Genomic DNA, 18,189 nt, shown 5'->3' with positions numbered 1-18,189 from the left:
ATTTATTGGTTATTTCATAATAACTGGTATTATATAGCTTTTGAATATCCTAGACATCTCTCTCCACTAGATTGTAAGTCCTTTCCCCAATTACTTATCACTGTGCTTGCCTAAATAGATGGCGATAGTAGCCTGATAGTTACCACCCCAAAATCCATTATTCATTTTCCTTCATAGAAACAGAGTTTAAGCTGGACATATGAATATCCAGCGAGAGATTACACATTCCCAGTAGCTGTGTCAGTTACTTACGGTCATGTGCCAAATCTGGGGCTCAATGTCCTATGAACAGAAGCTAGTGGACCACTTTCAATTCTTGATTTTAAAAACTCTGAGTTTGTATGTCTTGACCTTTTGCACGTTCCGTGGAGTGAGCACATGTGTGATGGAAATCCAGCTTTGACCAGGCTGATGAAGATAAAACCTGTGGAGTAAATAAGACGGAAGTAACCTGGCACAGCAAATCACTTTGTGCAACAGGGCCTTGCAAGCCTGGGCTTCCTAATTTTAGCCAGTTACACAGATGAGAATAAACATCTATTTTATTTTGGTAGGTTTTTGGCTTTTTCTTTTTTTTGACTGCTTGTTTGCATGTTTTCTTACTACACTACAGTTTGGCCTCTATTCTGAATAATAAAAATGCTAAATTATCAAATGCAAAGGTAACCCACAGAATGGCAGAAGATATCTTCAATTTCATATTCTACAAAAATTCATCTCTAGAATGTATAAAAAACTCTTAGAAATCAGTAAAATAAACTTGGGCACCCAAATAGAAATAATTGACAAACAATAGGAAAAAATTACATCACAAAAAAGAGAATCCAGAAAGCCAACACACATATCCAAAGGTACTTGATCTCAGTAGTAATCTAATGCAAGTGAAAAGCACAATGTAATGCCATTACACACTACCAGAATGGTTAAACTGAAAAAGATAAGGGCAAGTGTTGAAAAGGATGAGGAGCAACTGGAACTTAAACATACTACAAGCGGGAGAGTGTATTGTCATAACTGCTCTGAAAAACTGTTTGGCAGAGTCTTGTAAAATAAAATACAACAAATGCTATGACTTAGCAGTTCCACTTTAGGTACATCTACAGATACTTATATAAAAAATTTTTATAGTATCACTGTTACTATAGGTCCAAACTGGGAACAACCCAAATGTCCATTTACAATAAAATGGATATGTAAGTATCAATATGTTTATACAATGGACTACTACAGAACTACTACAGGACTACTACTACACAATGCTCTGTACCAGGCATTGTGATAAAACCTGGGGATACAAATTATAAACCAAGTCACCACAAGGTGCCTATAGACTATAGCCTAACAAAGACATTTACCAAAAAGTGCCTGCAAAGATATATTACAAGACAGTGGTTACACGCAGGAACTTTGGAGTCAGGCAGCCCTGGCTTCTCTGCCACTTACAGTAGTGGGACCCTGAACAAGTTCCCCTGAGCCTCAATTTACTTAATATATTGAGTAAATTAGTATTATAGTACTTAGTTTATATTATTATATATACTATATGGTATGCTATATATTATATATAATATACATATACTTATTATACTATATGTATATATATAGTTATTTTGAAGTATTGATGAGAATGTGTTCAGCACAGTGTCTGGAATATAGTAAGTGCTCAATAAATCTTAACTATTATGATTACTATTAATATTATTTTAGCAGGAGCAGCAGGAGAAGTATGGTGGTGCTCCTAAGGTAGTGTCAATTAAAGGGCAGGAAATAAAGAGACTCTAACAGACAGGGCAATAAAGAACGAATGAAAAGGAAAGAACCAGTGAATTTATTCTATATGGTCCTAAAATAACCATCGTGACTACACGGGAAAACAATAAGGGATGGGCCCCATCTTCTACCAAAAATGTTAACTCCTACCCAGCCTTCAACTCATAAGGTACCACTTCCTCAAGTCATGTGTCTAATTTCATAAACAACATGAATATCTTAGAGCTCAGTATTTTAAGCCAGGAAAAGAGATAACAAGAGTGGCTATCAAACCCCTTTCTCTGATTCTCTGATATTCCTCTGCTTTATAGCAGAGGCTACGAAGGTACACTCAGAGGTTAAGTAATTTAGAACCAGAGAATCATTAGAAAACAGAGTGAGCCTGAGAAGGATTTTTAGCCCAAAATGGTAAGCTATCCCTTCAGCTGATCCCCTTATCTTTGAAATAACCCCCAAAAAAAAAAAATTAAAATCACACTTAATCTACTGCAGCCTGGGTAAACAAGAAAGGCTTATCAGTGGAAAAGAAATTTTTAGAAATTCCTGGAAAAGATAAAGAGGATAGAATGGAGTTGCTGGGAAAACCAATCACAGCTGAGACCTATTACCCAGATTCACTCAAAAGAAGGTATAGAGTCGCTAAACAGGGGTTTTGCAACAAAAGTCAGGAACTATCCAAAGTTCAGAGGTGGTAGCTAGTGGCTGGGAACAGAAGCCAGAGCAGACAGCAATTTCGGGACATTGCAGAGCTGTAGTAGATCTGTACTGGTCTGCAGACAGACAATAATTTGCACTGTAAGTAACTGGGGAACTAGTGCCTGAGACTTCTAGGAATGCCAATGGTACTTTGGGCCCTCAGATAACTTGGGCTACCACAAGTGATAGACAAAGAAGACGGATGGAGTTGAGCATTTGAATTAAAGTTTTATTCAACATGCTTTGAAGTTTCTTAACATTTGGTTGCAATTTACGTTTATAATTATATGAATATATTTCTTTGACAGGTCACAATTTTGGCACTCTCTAAAGGGCCTAATTTGACATGCACCATAAATCTTTTTTAAAAAATCACCCAGACACATAATTCAACTTACAGTATTTCCATTTTAGGTGGAACTACTCGTAAGCAGAAAGGATTTCTAGCATGACTTTTGTCTTTGTAGCTCAATAGTATTACCCTGGATTTGGGAGAGAAGGTGAACTCATTTCAAGAACGGGGAACTAGGTTTTTCAGAACATTGCAGTAGCTGTAGAAATGTGTGTTGTAATGGAGACAAGCTACAGGGAAACATAGAAAGCTTAATCCGGAATGCTGGAATGGTGAATATGGTAAATATAACTAAGAAACAAGAGGGAACTTATCAAATTTAAATGAAATTTTTGACATTTGAATAAAAGATTTCCTGTGTGGTTATTCAAAGTAAAATTATTCTGCCCCAGAATTCCTTTTGCAAATTACCCTTTAAACCAATTGTGTTTTATTGAGGAAAAATGTGATTCTTTTCTCTTTTTAGCCTTTTGTTACAGAAAATTTCAAACATATACAAAAGTGGAGAGCTTAGTATAATGAACTGCACATAGTAATCACCCCCTCAATAATGACCACATTAGGGCCAATCCTTTTTCAATTTATCAGCTGTTGACTCAACTACACTTTTCTTCTCGTAGTAATGGAAGCGATAATGGAAGTTTAAAAATAACGAAGCAGAACCTGGCAAGGGCCGTACCAGGTGTTGTGCAAACAAAGGACTATGTGAACATTTTTAATGTGAGAATAGCTTTTAGAGATTAAGTCCAAAGAATGAAAAGACTTTGAGATGGGTCTTGAATGATGGACACTATTTCAACAGGCAGAGATGGGCAAGGAGGGTAACCGAAGCATAAGATTACAAGTTCCATGAGGCCAGGAACATTTTCTATCTTGCTTACTATTGTGTTTCCAATATTTAACAGTTCCAATCCTTGCTTGATAAATATATGAATTAATTAATCAATGCCATTTATTCTGCTTTGGTTACCTGGCCCTTGCCAGGTTCTGCTTTGTTATTTTTAACCTTCCCTTATCGCTTAGACTACAATTTTCTCTAGCAATGGGCTTCTTTACATTCATCTTATATTTCATTACTGTGACAAGAAAAGTGTAGTTGAGTCAACAGCTGATACACTGAATTAAAAGGCAAGAAATATCACAAGAATTAATGCTAAGATTTTACAAAGGAATTCACAGTTCTGTTGGATTTAGGGTTTAAAGGATGTCTCTATGGAGCTAATCATTGATATAAGAATTTATTTTGTGATAGTCAATGGTACCAATTAGTAGTTGAAAAGGCAGATAAATCACATAATTCTAAGAGAAAAATCAGTGACAAAGATTTTTTTTCTTTTTGTTTTTTGAGTAAAATAAATGGTTCCATGTATATGGGCATCTAATAGGTCTAAGGGAACCATACTATGAATTTGACTTGAATTTTAAAAGTAGATGTAAATAAATAGCTTGACTATTCTACCTAAAATTGACCAAATACCAAAACTATATTTAACTTTAATTCGCTAGAATCCCTATAGTGCACATTTCAAGAGGTGTCTCTCTTTTGTTGTTGGCACAATTCAACTTAATTATGTGATTTTCCACCCCCTGTTTTATGTATTTGTTTTATTTTTACCTTTCTTGCCTTTAACTGGATTTATTGACTAGTTTTTACCTCCATATACATAGGAAATGCTTGGAGAAAAATCAATGTGTTTTATGTATACAATCCACCAAATTTAAACTCTTCAATTAATAAGCCACATATGAGTGCAGCCAAAAAGAAGATTAAGGCTCTGAAATCAGGATTTTGAATCATCTTAAAACATAATATGAAACTGAACACAATGTCTTAGTGTTCTTTACCACTTAATACTACTGATCACTCTCATCCTTTGGGAAGTTCTTATCTTTTAGGGCTTCAGTGATCTACTTTGCAGGGTGTTCTCCTGACCTTTCTGACCCTCTCACAGGCCATCTATTTCTGTGGTTTCATCTGAGTTGTCTATTTAGATGCCACTCCACACACATACATTTATTCCTCTAACTCAATACCTACTGTAAACATTCTGCTGGAGAGCATGCTCAACATAGCAAAAAACAAATTCTGTGTATTTTCTAGGAGTCACCCCCTCATCTGTAATCTTTTGATGGTGAGAACCAGTGTTGAATTATAGTTGCTTTTTCTTATCCCCTAAATTATCCCTGGCCTTCTTAATAAATCAGTCTCCAAATATCACAGATTTCCTCTAGCACAATGTCCCGTGCATCTGTCTCTTTTTACACTATCTTTATTCTTGTCCAGGCCCTCATTACCTGCTGCCTGGGCTATTGCAATGAACTCTGATCTGATCTTCAACCCTTTTTTCCCACTCATTCAACATACTAGCAATGAAATTTTCATAGAAGTGAAACTACGATCATATTTTTTCTTCAAAAAACTCCAAGGTGTTCTCTTTCCTTCTTAAATTCAGATTCCTCACTTTGACATTCACTAATCTCCCTTCTGAATCCATCAGTCTCCCTCCTCCTGTCATTTATTTCCTTTATACAGGCTAAATCTTACCCCTCTTGCTGTTCTCTAGAAAGACCTTTTCTTTTTCCACCTTGCCATGATTCAAAATCCTGATTTGACTCAGGTATATATAATTCAAGAAACCTTCTAGACAGGCTTCCTCAGAGTCTATGTACAGGTATGGACAAACTGCTGTCAAACATTTGAGAATTTCCATGTTATATTAATTGGCTGTGTTGGAAGACAAAGGCAGTTCTTGGTGCATCTCAAATGTTGAAGCATTTTGTCACAGCTCAGAGTCTAAAGCCTCTTCCCAAAGCATCTTGTGGTTTTCAGAGCCTTAAACTTCTTTTTGGCTGCACTCATATGTGACTTGTTAATTGAAGAGTTTAAATTTGGTGGATTATATATATAAAACACATTGATTTTTCTCCAAGCATTTCCTATGTATATGCTATGTCAAATTTCTTCCCAGGTTGGGCAGAAAAATCTCTGGACTTCCAAAAACTTTGTCTACTTAAAAATTCCAATAATATATCAGATGGAAAACTTTTACTCCCCTATCACTGGAAAGGCTGTGGCCCAAAAGATTTGAAGTGAATGGGTGGGGTGGGAGTAGTCTGCTCTTTTTATCCCTCTCCCCTTCTCTCACCTTGGAGGAACAGCCTATTGCTAGAACATCGCTTTCCTCTTCCTTTTTGACACCCTGGGTGTTAAGGAGAGGAGGGAATAAAAGAGCTGGTAGAAAATATATTATGTAACTGGTATCCAATATGTTTCCATCTGTTTCTAGTGGCGTCTGCCAATGTCGTGCTCTCTACCCACAAGATGTGTATGTATTTTTCTTGGGATGACTTAGCACTGTTATTACATTACTAAGCACCCCATCAGCAAGGGGCTTTCTACTCTCTATTTTTTGCCAGTGGCCATGCCTTCACTGTCTCTGTACTAGTTATCTATTGCTCTATAACAAATTACCACAATGCAATGGTTTAAAACAGGAAACATTTATTATCTTGCAGTTTCTGAGGTTCAGAAATTTAGGCATGGTGCAACTGGATCCTCTGATGCAGGCTCTCTCATCAGGCTCAAACAAGGTGTCAGCCAGGTTCTCTCATGAGGCTTAATTAAGCAAGTCTCATCTAAACACTTGGCTAGGAAAGGATTTGCTTCTAAGCTCATGTGGTTGTGGGCAAAATTCAAGTTCTTGGCACCTATTGGACTGAGGACCAGTTTCTAGCTGATTGTTGGCCAGAGGCCACCTGCAATTCCTTGCTGCAAGAGCCTCCCAACAGGGATGCTTGCTTCATCAAAGCATGCAAGCCAAGAAAGCAATGGAGAGAGTTTGCTAGCAAGGTGCAAATTATGATCTTGATAATGAAATACTGGAGGTGACATTCCATCATCTTTACTATATTCTGTTGGATAGAAGAGAGTAACAGGTTGTAAATACAGGGAAGCTGAGGTCACTAGGGGCCATCTTAGACTCCAATCTGTAACAGTCTCCTTTGGGTAAGCCTGGACCACTCCCATCCTCCTACCTTATTCTCTATCTTCCTTCACTTCGTTCTTCATGTGGAGCTTCAAAAGAATTGAAGTTCTCTTCTGCATCTTGCAATGGCCACAAAAAACCTGTCTGGGGTGAGGGGTCATTCCCACTTTCCCAGGGGCACTATACCACTGTTTCTTCTCTCTGTTGTCACAATCAATTCCAGCAAGCCTTATACCTTCTCCAAATGACAAGCTGACGCTAGAGTTTATATTCATGTACTCCTTGCAGATTCTAGGGAACACAAGTAAAGGCTTGTCAAAAAGTGGCCCACCCTCTCCATCTGAGAGGACCTGTAAGTTCTGCAAGTTAGGAAACATCCTTCAGAGCATGTGATGGCAGTCTTCATATTTTACAGACACCCCTAAGCTTCATGAATGATTCTGTTAAACTGGTCTCATAGAGAGTAGGAGGAAAAACCACAGAACTTCCCACCAATCTGATGCTACTTGACTTTAACCACTATCCCTCATCTCACAGTCTTCTTGTACAAGCACAGAAAGTGCAGGAAGGTTTGAGGGCTGTGACCAGAGGCAGGTTTTGTCATCTATTATAAGTGCTAAGGGGTTCAGGGTAAAGAGGATATAAGTTTTCCCTCGCTTAATAGGACATAGTGGTATGTAATACTCTTTGACCCCAGGAGTAGAGCCCTAGTTGCCAATTCTGAGAAAAATCTCCCTAAGCATCCTCTTATATGTGCAAGTCTAAGAAGAACTCTAGGTGTTAGGCTACCAGAGCCTCCTCTACACCATTAACCTGTAATCCTGGATCCTTGTAGCCAATCTAAGTACTGGTCCCATAGTCTCACTTTATCTACTTCCTGCCATATCTTATATTTAGTTGACATTTTTTAAAAAGTGGTCACTTTGTCCATTGTCCTAGTGATATTTAGGTTTTGCACTCTTAGTTATTGCCTCTCTATCCTGTGTCTTTTCATTCTCCCAAAACAAGACAATCTCATTCACTCCAAAGCTTCAATTATTCAGTAACTGTGAAATCTGAGCCTCAAGCCCCAATCACATCTTCATTTGTGCATCCCTATATTTAAATGCACGTTAGTAGAGCATGCGTAGAAGAGCTGAGGTTCCTTAGAAATGCTAAGTCATTTCTCACCTTGTAGAAAAGAATGAAAAACTATAGACTCTTTGACTGTTACAATTAAAAGGAAACTCTGAGATTGTCAGCCCTCTTCATTTATCAGATTAGGATCCTAAAGGAAAAGTTGTTTAGGAGAAGTTCAAATTAGTTTGCTTTACTCAAAGTACACTGCTTTTTCTACTGTATAATACAGTTGTTTGGAAAAAAATATTAAGATCATACCGTATTTACCAAAATTGCATATATTACAGGTATTATACAATTAAAACCACATACTATATATATGGTGGGATTTTAACTGAGAGTTGCTACATTGTTAAAAAAAAAAAAAAAAAAACTTGTTTGGAAGTCTGTCCTAAGCTTGCATATTATAAATGAATTGTGCTTCTTTGTTTTATGAGAGTTGAAATCAGACCTCTTAAACAATGCTTACAGAAAGTACTGCTTCTCTTGCTACAACTGGTAGTGACCCATGTTGGGGGTGACAGTACAATTGAGTCTACCAGAATGTGAGAAAAGGAGTTTTTATATTGCATCTACCAAAAAGGAAACTCCATTTTAGTTAGAAAGAAGCTTGCATTAATTCAACATTTGGATGAGGTCCAAAGTCAGTTGCAGTAAATCTTGATAACTACTGCTTGTTTCAAGCTAGAGCCAAGCCGTTTGTTTATTTTAAACGCTTGCTCGATGGGTTACTCCCCTGGGAAAATGACCTTGTTTTCATCTCAGGCCCAAGGGAAGCTTCTTATGCTGTGGAATCTTATTCCAGAATGTGTCTGGAATGAAGAAAGTTGCAGCCTATACTCAGCTAGCATGATCATCTCATTCACTTCATCGACAAAGCTTTTGACTTTCTAAAATAAAAGTAGGAAGACTTGGAAATTTTAACGCTTCCCTTCATCCTCCAACACCCTCATCCCCATCATCCAAAATCACAGCTGAGAACTGCTCAGTGCTACCTAAGTTACTTAGTTCTCTTTTACTTTTGGTGCCCCAAAGGTGATAGAAGTAACAACCCCCATACAGTCAGAGGAAACCCAGATGATTCTACGGATGCTCTGTGGGTATGAAGCAACTTGACAAATAGGCCAACTGCAAATAACATGGGCATCTGGAAGGAGCAGAAAGCAGGTTTGGGTTGACATGTAAATGTGGAGCCTGTGGTCACTCTAGAGTAACACCCTTTCCTTCTTTATCTCCCACCCCAACACACAGTTAGGAAGGCATCTGCAATGCAGACATTGGTTAGGTACCAGGCCTCTCCTGTACACACTTCTAACTTGTAAATATTCCTCAAGGTGATAGTACCTTTTGATATCTCAATCATTAACTTGTTAATTTGATGATTGTTTTTCTTTTATTATTATACTTTAAGTTCTAGGGTACATGTGCACAATGTGCAGGTTTGTTATACAGGTATACATGTGCTGTCTTGGTTTGCCACACCCATTAACTCATCATTTACATTAGGTATTTCTAATGCTATCCCTCCCCCATTTCCCCACCAACTGACAGGCCCCAGTGTGTGATGTTCCCCTCCTTGTGTCCAAGTGTTCTCATTGTTCAATTCCCACCTGTGAGTGAGAACATGTGGGGTTTGGTTTTCTGTCCTTGTGATAGTTTGTTGAGAATGATGGTTTCTAGCTTCATCCATGTCCCTGCAAAGGACATGAACTCAACTTTTTTATGGCTGCATAGTATTCCATGGTGTATATGTACCACATTTTTTTAATCCAGTCTATCAATGATGGACATTTGGGTTGGTTCCAAGTCTTGCTATTGTGAATAGTGCCACAATAAACATACATGTGCATGTGTCTTTATAGCAGCATGATTTATAATCCTTTGGGTATATACCCAGTAATGGGATGGCTGGGTCAAATGGTATTTCTAGTTCTAGATCCTTGAGGAATTGCCACACTGTCTTGCACAATGGTTGCACTAATTTACACTCCCATCAACAGTGTAAAAACATTCCCATTTCTCCACATCCTCTCCAGCATATGTTCTTTCCTGACTTTCTAATGATTGCCATTCTAACAGGCATGAGATGGTATCTTACTGTGGTTTTGATTTGCATTTCTCTGATGACCAGTGATGATGAGCATGTTTTCATGTGTCTGTTGGCTGCATAAATGTCTTCTTTTGAGAAGTGTCTGTTCATATCCTTTGCCCACTTTTTGATGGGATTGTTTGGTTTTTTCTTGTAAATTTGTTTAAGTTCTCTGTAGATTCTAGATATTAGCCCTTTGTCAGAGGGATAGATTGCAAAATTTTTCTCCCATTCCGTAGGTTGCCTGTTCACTCTGATGGTAGTTTCTTTTGCCACACGGAAGCTCTTTAGTTTAATTAGATCCCATTTGTCAATTTTGGCTTTTGCTGCCATTGCTTTTGGTGTTTTAGTCATGAAGTCCTTGCCCATGCTTATGTCCTGAATGGTATTCTCTAGGTTTTCCTCTAGGGTTTTTATGGTTTTAAGTCTAAAGTCTTTAATCCATCTTGAATTAATTTTTGTATAAGGTATAAGGAAGGGATCCAGTTTCAGCTTTCTACATATGGATAGCCAGTTTTCCCAGCACCATTTATTAAATAGGGAATCCTTTCCCCATTTCTTGTTTTTGTCAGGTTTGTCAAAGATCAGATGGTTGTAGATGTGTGGTGTTATTTCTGAAGCCTCTGTTCTGTTCCATTGGTCTATATATCTGTTTTGGTACCAGTACCATGCTCTTTTGGTTACTGTAGCCTTGTAGTATAGCTTGAAGTCAGGTAGTGTGATGCCTCCAGCGTTGTTCTTTTTGCTTAGGATTGTCTTGGCAATGCAGGCCCTTTTTTGGTTCCATATGAACTTTAGTTTTTTCCAATTCTGTGAAGAAAGTCATTGGTAGCTTGATGGGGATGGCATTGAATCTATAAATTACCTTGGGCAGTATGGCCATTTTCATGATATTGATTCTTCCTACCCATGAGCATGGAATGTTCTTCCATTTGTTTGTGTCCTCTTTTATTTCATTGAGCAGTGGTTTGTAGTTCTCCTTGAAGAGGTCCTTCACATCCCTTGTATGTTGGATTCCTAGGTACTTTATTCTCTTTGTAACCATTGTGAATGGGAGTACACTCATGATTTGGTTCTCTGTTGTCTATTATTGGTGTATAGGAATGCTTGTGATTTTTGCACAATGATTTTGTATCCTGAGACTTTGCTGAAGTTGCTTATCAGCTTAAGGAGATTTTGGGCTGAGACTGTGGGGTTTTCTAAATATACAATTATGTCATCTGCAAACAGGGACAATTTGACTTCCTCTTTTCCTCATTGAAAACCCTTAATTTCTTTCTCTTGCCTGATTGCCCTGGCCAGAACTTCCAACACTCTGTTGAATAGGAGTGGTGAGAGAGGGCATCCTTGTCTTGTGCCGGTTTTCAAAGGGAATGATTCCAGTTTTTGCCCATTCAGTATGATATTGGCTGTGGGTTTGTCATAAGTAGCTCTTTATTATTTTGAGATACGTTCCATCAAAACCTAGTTTATTGAGAGTTTTTAGCATGAAAGGCTGTTGAATTTTGTCAAAGGCATTTTCTGCACCTATTGAGATAATCATGTGGTTTTTGTCATTGGTTCTGTTTATGTGATGGATTACGTTTATTGATTTGCGTATGTTGAACCAGCCTTGCATCCCAGGGATGAAGCCAACTTGATCATGATGAGCAAACTTTTTGATGTGCTGCTGGATTCGGTTTGCCAGTATTTTATTGAGTATTTTTGCATTGATGTTCATCAGGGATATTGGTCTAAAATTCTCTTTTTTGTTGTTGTTGTGTCTCTGACAGGCTTTGGTATCAGGATGATGCTGGCCTCATAAAAGGAGTTAGGGAGGATTCCCTCTTTTTCTGTTGATTAGAATAGTTTCAGAAGGAATGGTACCAGCTCCTCTCTGTACTTCTGGTAGAATTCAGCTGTGAATCCGTTCTGTCCTGAACTTTTTTTGGTTGGTAGGCTATTAATTATTGCTCAATTTCAGAGCCTGTTATTGGTCTATCAGAGATTCAGCTTCTTCCTGGTTTAGTCTTGGGAGGGCGTATGTGTGTCTAGGAACTTATCCATTTCTTCTAGATTTTCTAGTTTATTTGCATAGAGGTGTTTATAGTACTATCTGATGGTAGTTTGTATTTCTGTAGTGATATCCCCTTTATCATTTTTTATTGCATCGATTTGATTCTTCTCTCTTTTCTTCTTTATTAGTCTTGCTGGTGGTCTATCAATTTTGTTCATCTCTTCAAAAAACCAGCTCCTGGATTCATTGATTTTTTGAAGGGTTTTTTGTGTCTCTGTCTCCTTCAGGTTTGCTCTGATCTCAGTTATTTCTTGACTTCTGCTACCTTTTGAATTTGTTTGCTCTTGCTTCTCTAGTTCTTTTAATTGTGATGTTAGGGTGTCGATTTTAGATTTTTCCTGCTTTCTCTTGTGGGCATTTAGTGCTACAAATTTCCCTCTACACACTGCTTTAAATGTGTCCCAGAGATTCTGTTACATTGTGACTTTGTTCTCATTGGTTTCAAAGAACATCTTTACTTCTGCCTTCGTTTCCTTATTTATCCAGTAGTCATTCAGGAGCAGGTTGTTCAGTTTCCATGTAGTTGTGCCATTCTTAGTGAGTTTCCTAATCCTGAGTTCCAATTTGATTGCACTGTGGTCTGAGAGACAGTTTGTTGTGATTTCTGTTCTTTTACATTTGCTGAGGAGTGCTTTACTTCCAATTATGTGGTCAATTTTAGAATAAGTGCGATGTGGTGCTGAGAAAAATTTACATTCTATTGATCTGGGGTGGAGAATTCTGTAGATATCTATTACGTCTACTTGTTGCAGAGCTGAGTTCAAGTCCTGGATATACTTGTTAACCTTCTGTTGATCTGTCCAATATTGACAGTGGAGTGTTACAGTCTCCCATTATTATTGTGTGGGAGTCTAAGTCTCTCTGGAGGCCTCTAACGACTTGCTTTATGAATCTGGGTGCTCCTGTATTGGGTGCATATATATTTAGGATAGTTAGCTCTTCTTGTTGAATTGGTCCCTTTAACATTATGTAATGGCCTTCTTTGTCTCTTTTGATCTGTGTTGGTTTAAAGTCTGTTTTATCAGAGACTAAGATTGCAAACCCTGCTTTTTTTTTGCTTTCCATTTGCTTGGGATATTCCTCCATCCCTTTATTTTGAGCCTATGTGTGTCTCTGCATGTGAGATGGGCCTCCTGAATACAGCACACTGATGGATCTTGACTCTTTATCCAATTTGCCAGTCTGTGTCTTTTAATGGGGGACATTTAGCCCATTTACATTTAAGGTAAACATTGTTATGTGTGAATTTAATCCTGTCATTATGATGTTAGCTGGTTGTTCCTTTCCATGTTTAGTGCTTCCTTCAGGAGCTCTTGTAAGGCAGGCCTGGTGGTGACAAAATCTCTCAGCATTTGCTTGTCTGTAAAGGCTTTTATTTCTCATTTACTTATGAAGCTTAGTTTGGCTGGATATGAAATTCTGGGTTGAAAATTCTTTTCTTTAAGAATGTTGAATATCGGCCCCCACTCTCTTCTGGCTTGTAGGGTTTCTGCCAAGAGATCCACTGTTAGTCTGATGGGCTTCCCTTTGTGGGTAACCCGACCTTTCTCTCTGGCTGCCCTTAACATTTTTTCCTTCACTTCAACCTTGGTGAATCTGACAATTATGTGTCTTGGGGTTGCTCTTCTCAAGGAGTATCTTTGTGGTGTTCTCTGAAAAGCTGAAAATTCTAAAAACCAGAGTGCCTCTTCTCCTCCAAAGGATCATAGCTCCTTGCCAGCAACAGAACAAAGCTGGATGGAGAATGACTTTGACGAGTTGACAGAAGTAGGCTTCAGAAGGTCAGTAATAACAAACTTCTCCGAGCTAAAGGAGCATGTTCTAACCAATCGCAAGGAAGTTAAAAACCTTGAAAAAAGGTTAGGTGAATGGCTAACTAGAATAAACAGTGTAGAGAAGCCCTTAAATGCCTTGATGGAGCTGAAAACTATGGCATGAGAACTTCGTGATGCATTGTGCAACCTTCAATAGGTGATTCGATCAAGTGGAAGAAACGATATCAGTGATTCAAGATCAAATTTATGAAATAAAATGAGAAGACAAGTTTAGAGAAAAAAGAGTAAAAAGAAACGAACACAGCCTCCAAGAAATATGAGACTATGTGAAAAGACCACATCTACGTTTGATTGGTGTACCTGAAAGTGACGCGGAGAATGGAACCAAGTGGGAAAACACTCTTCAAGATACTACCCAGGAGAACTTCCCCAACCCAGCAAGGCAGGCCAACATTCAAATTCAGGAAATATGGAGACCCCCACAATGATGATTGTTTTTCTTAGCTAAAGAAAGAAAACTGCAGAAGAAGAGCTTTGTGACTGGGAGGAAGATACCACAGGGACAATTTTGGTGCAGCTGGTTTTAGCCCTTGAAAAAGCTTAGAAGGAGGGTTATTTGAACATGGCTGTAAACCATGATCTTACTATCCCTGGAAATCTTTGTGTCTGGAGAGCAGAGGAGAGAAAAAGAAAGATAAGGTAAGAAAATAAAAAGAGACAAAAGTGAGTAATAAAACAATACAGACAAAATTAGGCTGGGGCACACCTGGTAGGCCATCCAGTTGACACATTATAAATAGTCAATTTCTAGGAGCCAGACTTCCACTGCTAGTTTCTGCAAATACAGTCTTGTCTTCCATTTGACGTCATGTAAAAATTGCTTTGACCAGGAGGCTTACTGAAGATACATTAAGATAGCAACAGCTTGTCTGGAAACAGTATAAGAATAGGCTCCTTAGTGAAGATCTCAAGATGATTCTATTTTTGTGCCAGGTGAAGCAGCCGAGGCTAGAAACGGTAATCTGTGCAAAACAGAATCTGTCAGATACATCAGACCAGCACTGCTGCTTCTGCTATTGTTAGTTATAGGGCAGAAGTTGCAAAAGCGAAACGAGGAATGAGAGGCAACATAAACTCAATGCTCAGATTCATAGACTAATCTCCCGAATAATTTTTCAGCTATCTCAGACACAATCTCTAAAAAAAGAATGAAACAAACAAAAACCCCAAATCTGAATGGAAAAATAATCTGCTAGTGTTCCACTCTCTTGGAAAGTTTACTTGAGGCATTCTGACTGAAATGACAATTCAATGGGGGAAGGAATAAGTGCAAGTCCCGTCTTCTCATAACCAAAAACGAAAAGTTGCTTACCCACACAAAAACTGTAGCACCTCCCCAACTATATTGGAGCAGGCCAAGAGGGAGGTGGTGTTTTCTTGGCAGTTCAGATTTTCAAAAATGAAAATTGTCCTATCTCATGTTCTATACTCACAGCACTCAGTGTTTATTAGTGGTAAGGTATTAATAAAAGCAGCATACTAGAAAATAGCTTCCTTAGAGAGGTACTCAAATTTTTATCAGGGTCTGTGGAAACCATTTAGTGCCCTGCAATTCACCAACTAATAGCTGAGATACAAAATAAGTTTTGGCAAGAATCTAAGAACCAGGAATCTCTTGTTTAGGCCATGATTGAATCTGCTTATAAAGTAATAGTAAAACACAGGTGACTTGTTCATTCACAATGCTTGGATCATAAAATTCAATTCTTGGATTCGAAAAGCCCAATAAGAAATATGTTGGCATTTAAGAAATTGGTTAAAAACATATTTTGCAGCTATAGCTTTAATGAAAATAATGTTTTCCCAAACAGGTAGAATGAATAGCTTGACACAGAAGACATTGGCTGGCAACTTCACTTACAGTTTGTAATATGTAAAGGGAAGAGACAAATGTACTGGGAAGGTAGTGTGTTAAAACACTACTAGTAATACAAGCATAGGTTCTCCAAGAAAGGTGAAGAGCAAGAAGTAGTGAGAATCTTATGGTAGTGTATTCAATTTTAAGAAAAAATCACTTAAAACAATAGAGATTTACAAAACACATAAATTTGAGGTAGTCATTTACTTTATAGAATACAGTTTCATAGAGTGATGTCAACAAAATGACAGACTAGGAATCTTTACGCTCTCTTTCCCTGACAGAGACACTGAGTTAACAACAAGGTTTCGTTGGAAACATAAGAATAGACCGTGTATCTACATTCTAGCTTGTTTGGGGGCTACACAAAAGACTAGTTTCTGTCTCTCCTAACTCCAGGTGCTGACAGGACCAGCGGCATAATATGGAAGCCACTGAAAACAGACGATAACACTGCAGCATATTAGAGCTATAGTTCTCTGAGCAGATGCCAGCAGGAGCAAGAGATAAGAAAAGTTTTGAGAGGTCCTAGGACCTCTGAGTTTATTAGTGAAGTTTATTATTCCCTGCACAAGGCTAGCATGCAAAGTCTCAGAAAGGTGGTCATGTATTTCAAATGCCCAAATCTCAACAAAAAAATTACAACAATGACGTCTTCTGTGGAACCCCTCTAGTGAATTTTTCAGTCCTGTTACTGTATTTTTCAGCTCCAGAAATTTGTTTTTTTTTTTATAATTTACAAAAAAATTGCTTTACAATTTACAAAAGATTACAATGCATATGAAGAAACAGGAAAACATGGTACAAAGGCCTAAAATTAAACTCCAGAAACCTACCCTAAAGAAATACGTATCTATGCACTGAAATAAATAATTTAAAATAAATATTATAAAGATGTTTATAAAACTGAAAAAGAACCCAGATATACAACTAAGTAAAATCAGAAAAATAACAAATGAACAAAATGAGAATATTAACAAAGGGTTAGAAATTGATTTTTAAATACCAAACAAATTTTTGGAGCAGAAAAACACAATAATTAGATAGAAAAAATCACTAGAGGGATTCAACAGAAGACTTGATCAGGCAGAAGACAGAATCCGTGACTTTGAAGGTAGATCATTTGAAATAATTGATTCAAATGAGGAAAAAGGAAAGAAGGAAAGTAAAGAAACCCTAAGGGATGTATGAAACACTATATGCTTGATCTGTACAGGCCAATCTATACATTATGGGAACGTCAGAAGGAGAAAATAGAAAAAAAGGGGCACATAGATTATTTGAAAAAATAATGGTTGAAAAACTTGCTACATCTGAGCAGAAAATGGGCAGACAAATTCAAGAAACTCAAAGAAATACAACCAGGATAAACCCAAGATAACCATCCCAAGACACAAGACACAACATAATCAAACTGTCTAAAATCAAAGAAAAATAAATAATTTTGAAAGAAGCAAAAGAAAAGTGACTTATTGCAAGCTAGGAAATTTTAATAAGAATATCAGTGGATTTCTCAGCAGAAGCCTTGCAGGTCTGAGGGAGTGTGATGATATATTCAATATGCTAAAAGAAAAAAAATTGTTAAGGAAGAATATTGTTTTCAGCAAAACTATACTTCAGATATAAAGATAAAGGAGAAATAAAGACTTTTCCAGATTAAAAAAAAAGCTGAAGGAGTTTATTACCACTAGACATGCTCTGTAAGAAATGCCAAAAGGAATCCTTCAAGTTGAAACAAAGGGACAGTAGATAGCAATATTAAGCCATACAAAAATATAAGGCTCTCTAGTAATCTAAATACATGGACTAATACAGTAACCTGTATTATAGTAATTCTGGTGCATGAAATTTAAAAACATTAAAAATAATTGTAAATCTATGTTAATGGGTGTATAATATGTAAAAATGTATTTTGTAACATTAATGATAGAAAGTCAGGGATGGAGCTGTAAAGCAGCAGTTTTTTGATGTGATTGAAAGTAACTTGTTTCAATTTAAAATAGAATGCCATACCTTTCAGATGTTGTATGTAATTGAAATAGTACCCACAAAAATACCTATAGAATACACACGAAAGGAAATAAAAAAGGAGTCAAAACTTGTTGCTACAAAAAATTAATGAAACACAAAGGAAGCCAGTAAGAGACGAAAGGAAGGACAAAAAGGTATAAAATAGGGGTACCTAATTTTTTGGCTACCTTGGGCTACACTGGAAGAAGAAAAATTGTCTTGGACCACACATAAAATACACTAACACAATAGCTAATGAGCTTTAAAAAAAAAAATCACAAAAAACAACCTCATAATGTTTTCAAAAAGATTACGAATTTGTCTTGGGCCACATCCAAACCCATCCTGGGCTACACTCAGCCTGCAAGCTGCAGGTTGGACAAGCTTGGTATAAGATACAGAAAACAAAATGACAATA

General features: G+C 37.4%; 2 long non-coding RNA genes across 2 annotated transcripts in view; one reads left to right on the top strand and one right to left on the bottom strand.

Moving 5' to 3' along the window:
- Nucleotides 1-18,189, bottom strand: part of KCNJ8-AS1 (KCNJ8 antisense RNA 1) — a 166,949-nt gene that overhangs the window by 68,924 nt on the left and 79,836 nt on the right. Inside the window, exon 2 of the long non-coding RNA XR_007063241.1 lies at nt 253-424. This is a non-coding gene — a long non-coding RNA (KCNJ8 antisense RNA 1). The remainder of the gene's footprint in view (nt 1-252; nt 425-18,189) is intronic.
- Nucleotides 2,468-18,189, top strand: part of LOC102724261 (uncharacterized) — a 32,260-nt gene continuing 16,538 nt past the window's right edge. Inside the window, exon 1 of the long non-coding RNA XR_429056.4 lies at nt 2,468-2,565. This is a non-coding gene — a long non-coding RNA (uncharacterized LOC102724261). The remainder of the gene's footprint in view (nt 2,566-18,189) is intronic.

Source organism: Homo sapiens, chromosome 12 (assembly GCF_000001405.40).
Source record: "Homo sapiens chromosome 12, GRCh38.p14 Primary Assembly".
Taxonomy (NCBI): Eukaryota; Metazoa; Chordata; class Mammalia; order Primates; family Hominidae; genus Homo; species Homo sapiens.
The sequence above is the reverse complement of the archived record's forward strand: the minus strand, read 5'-3'. Positions and strand labels throughout refer to the sequence as shown.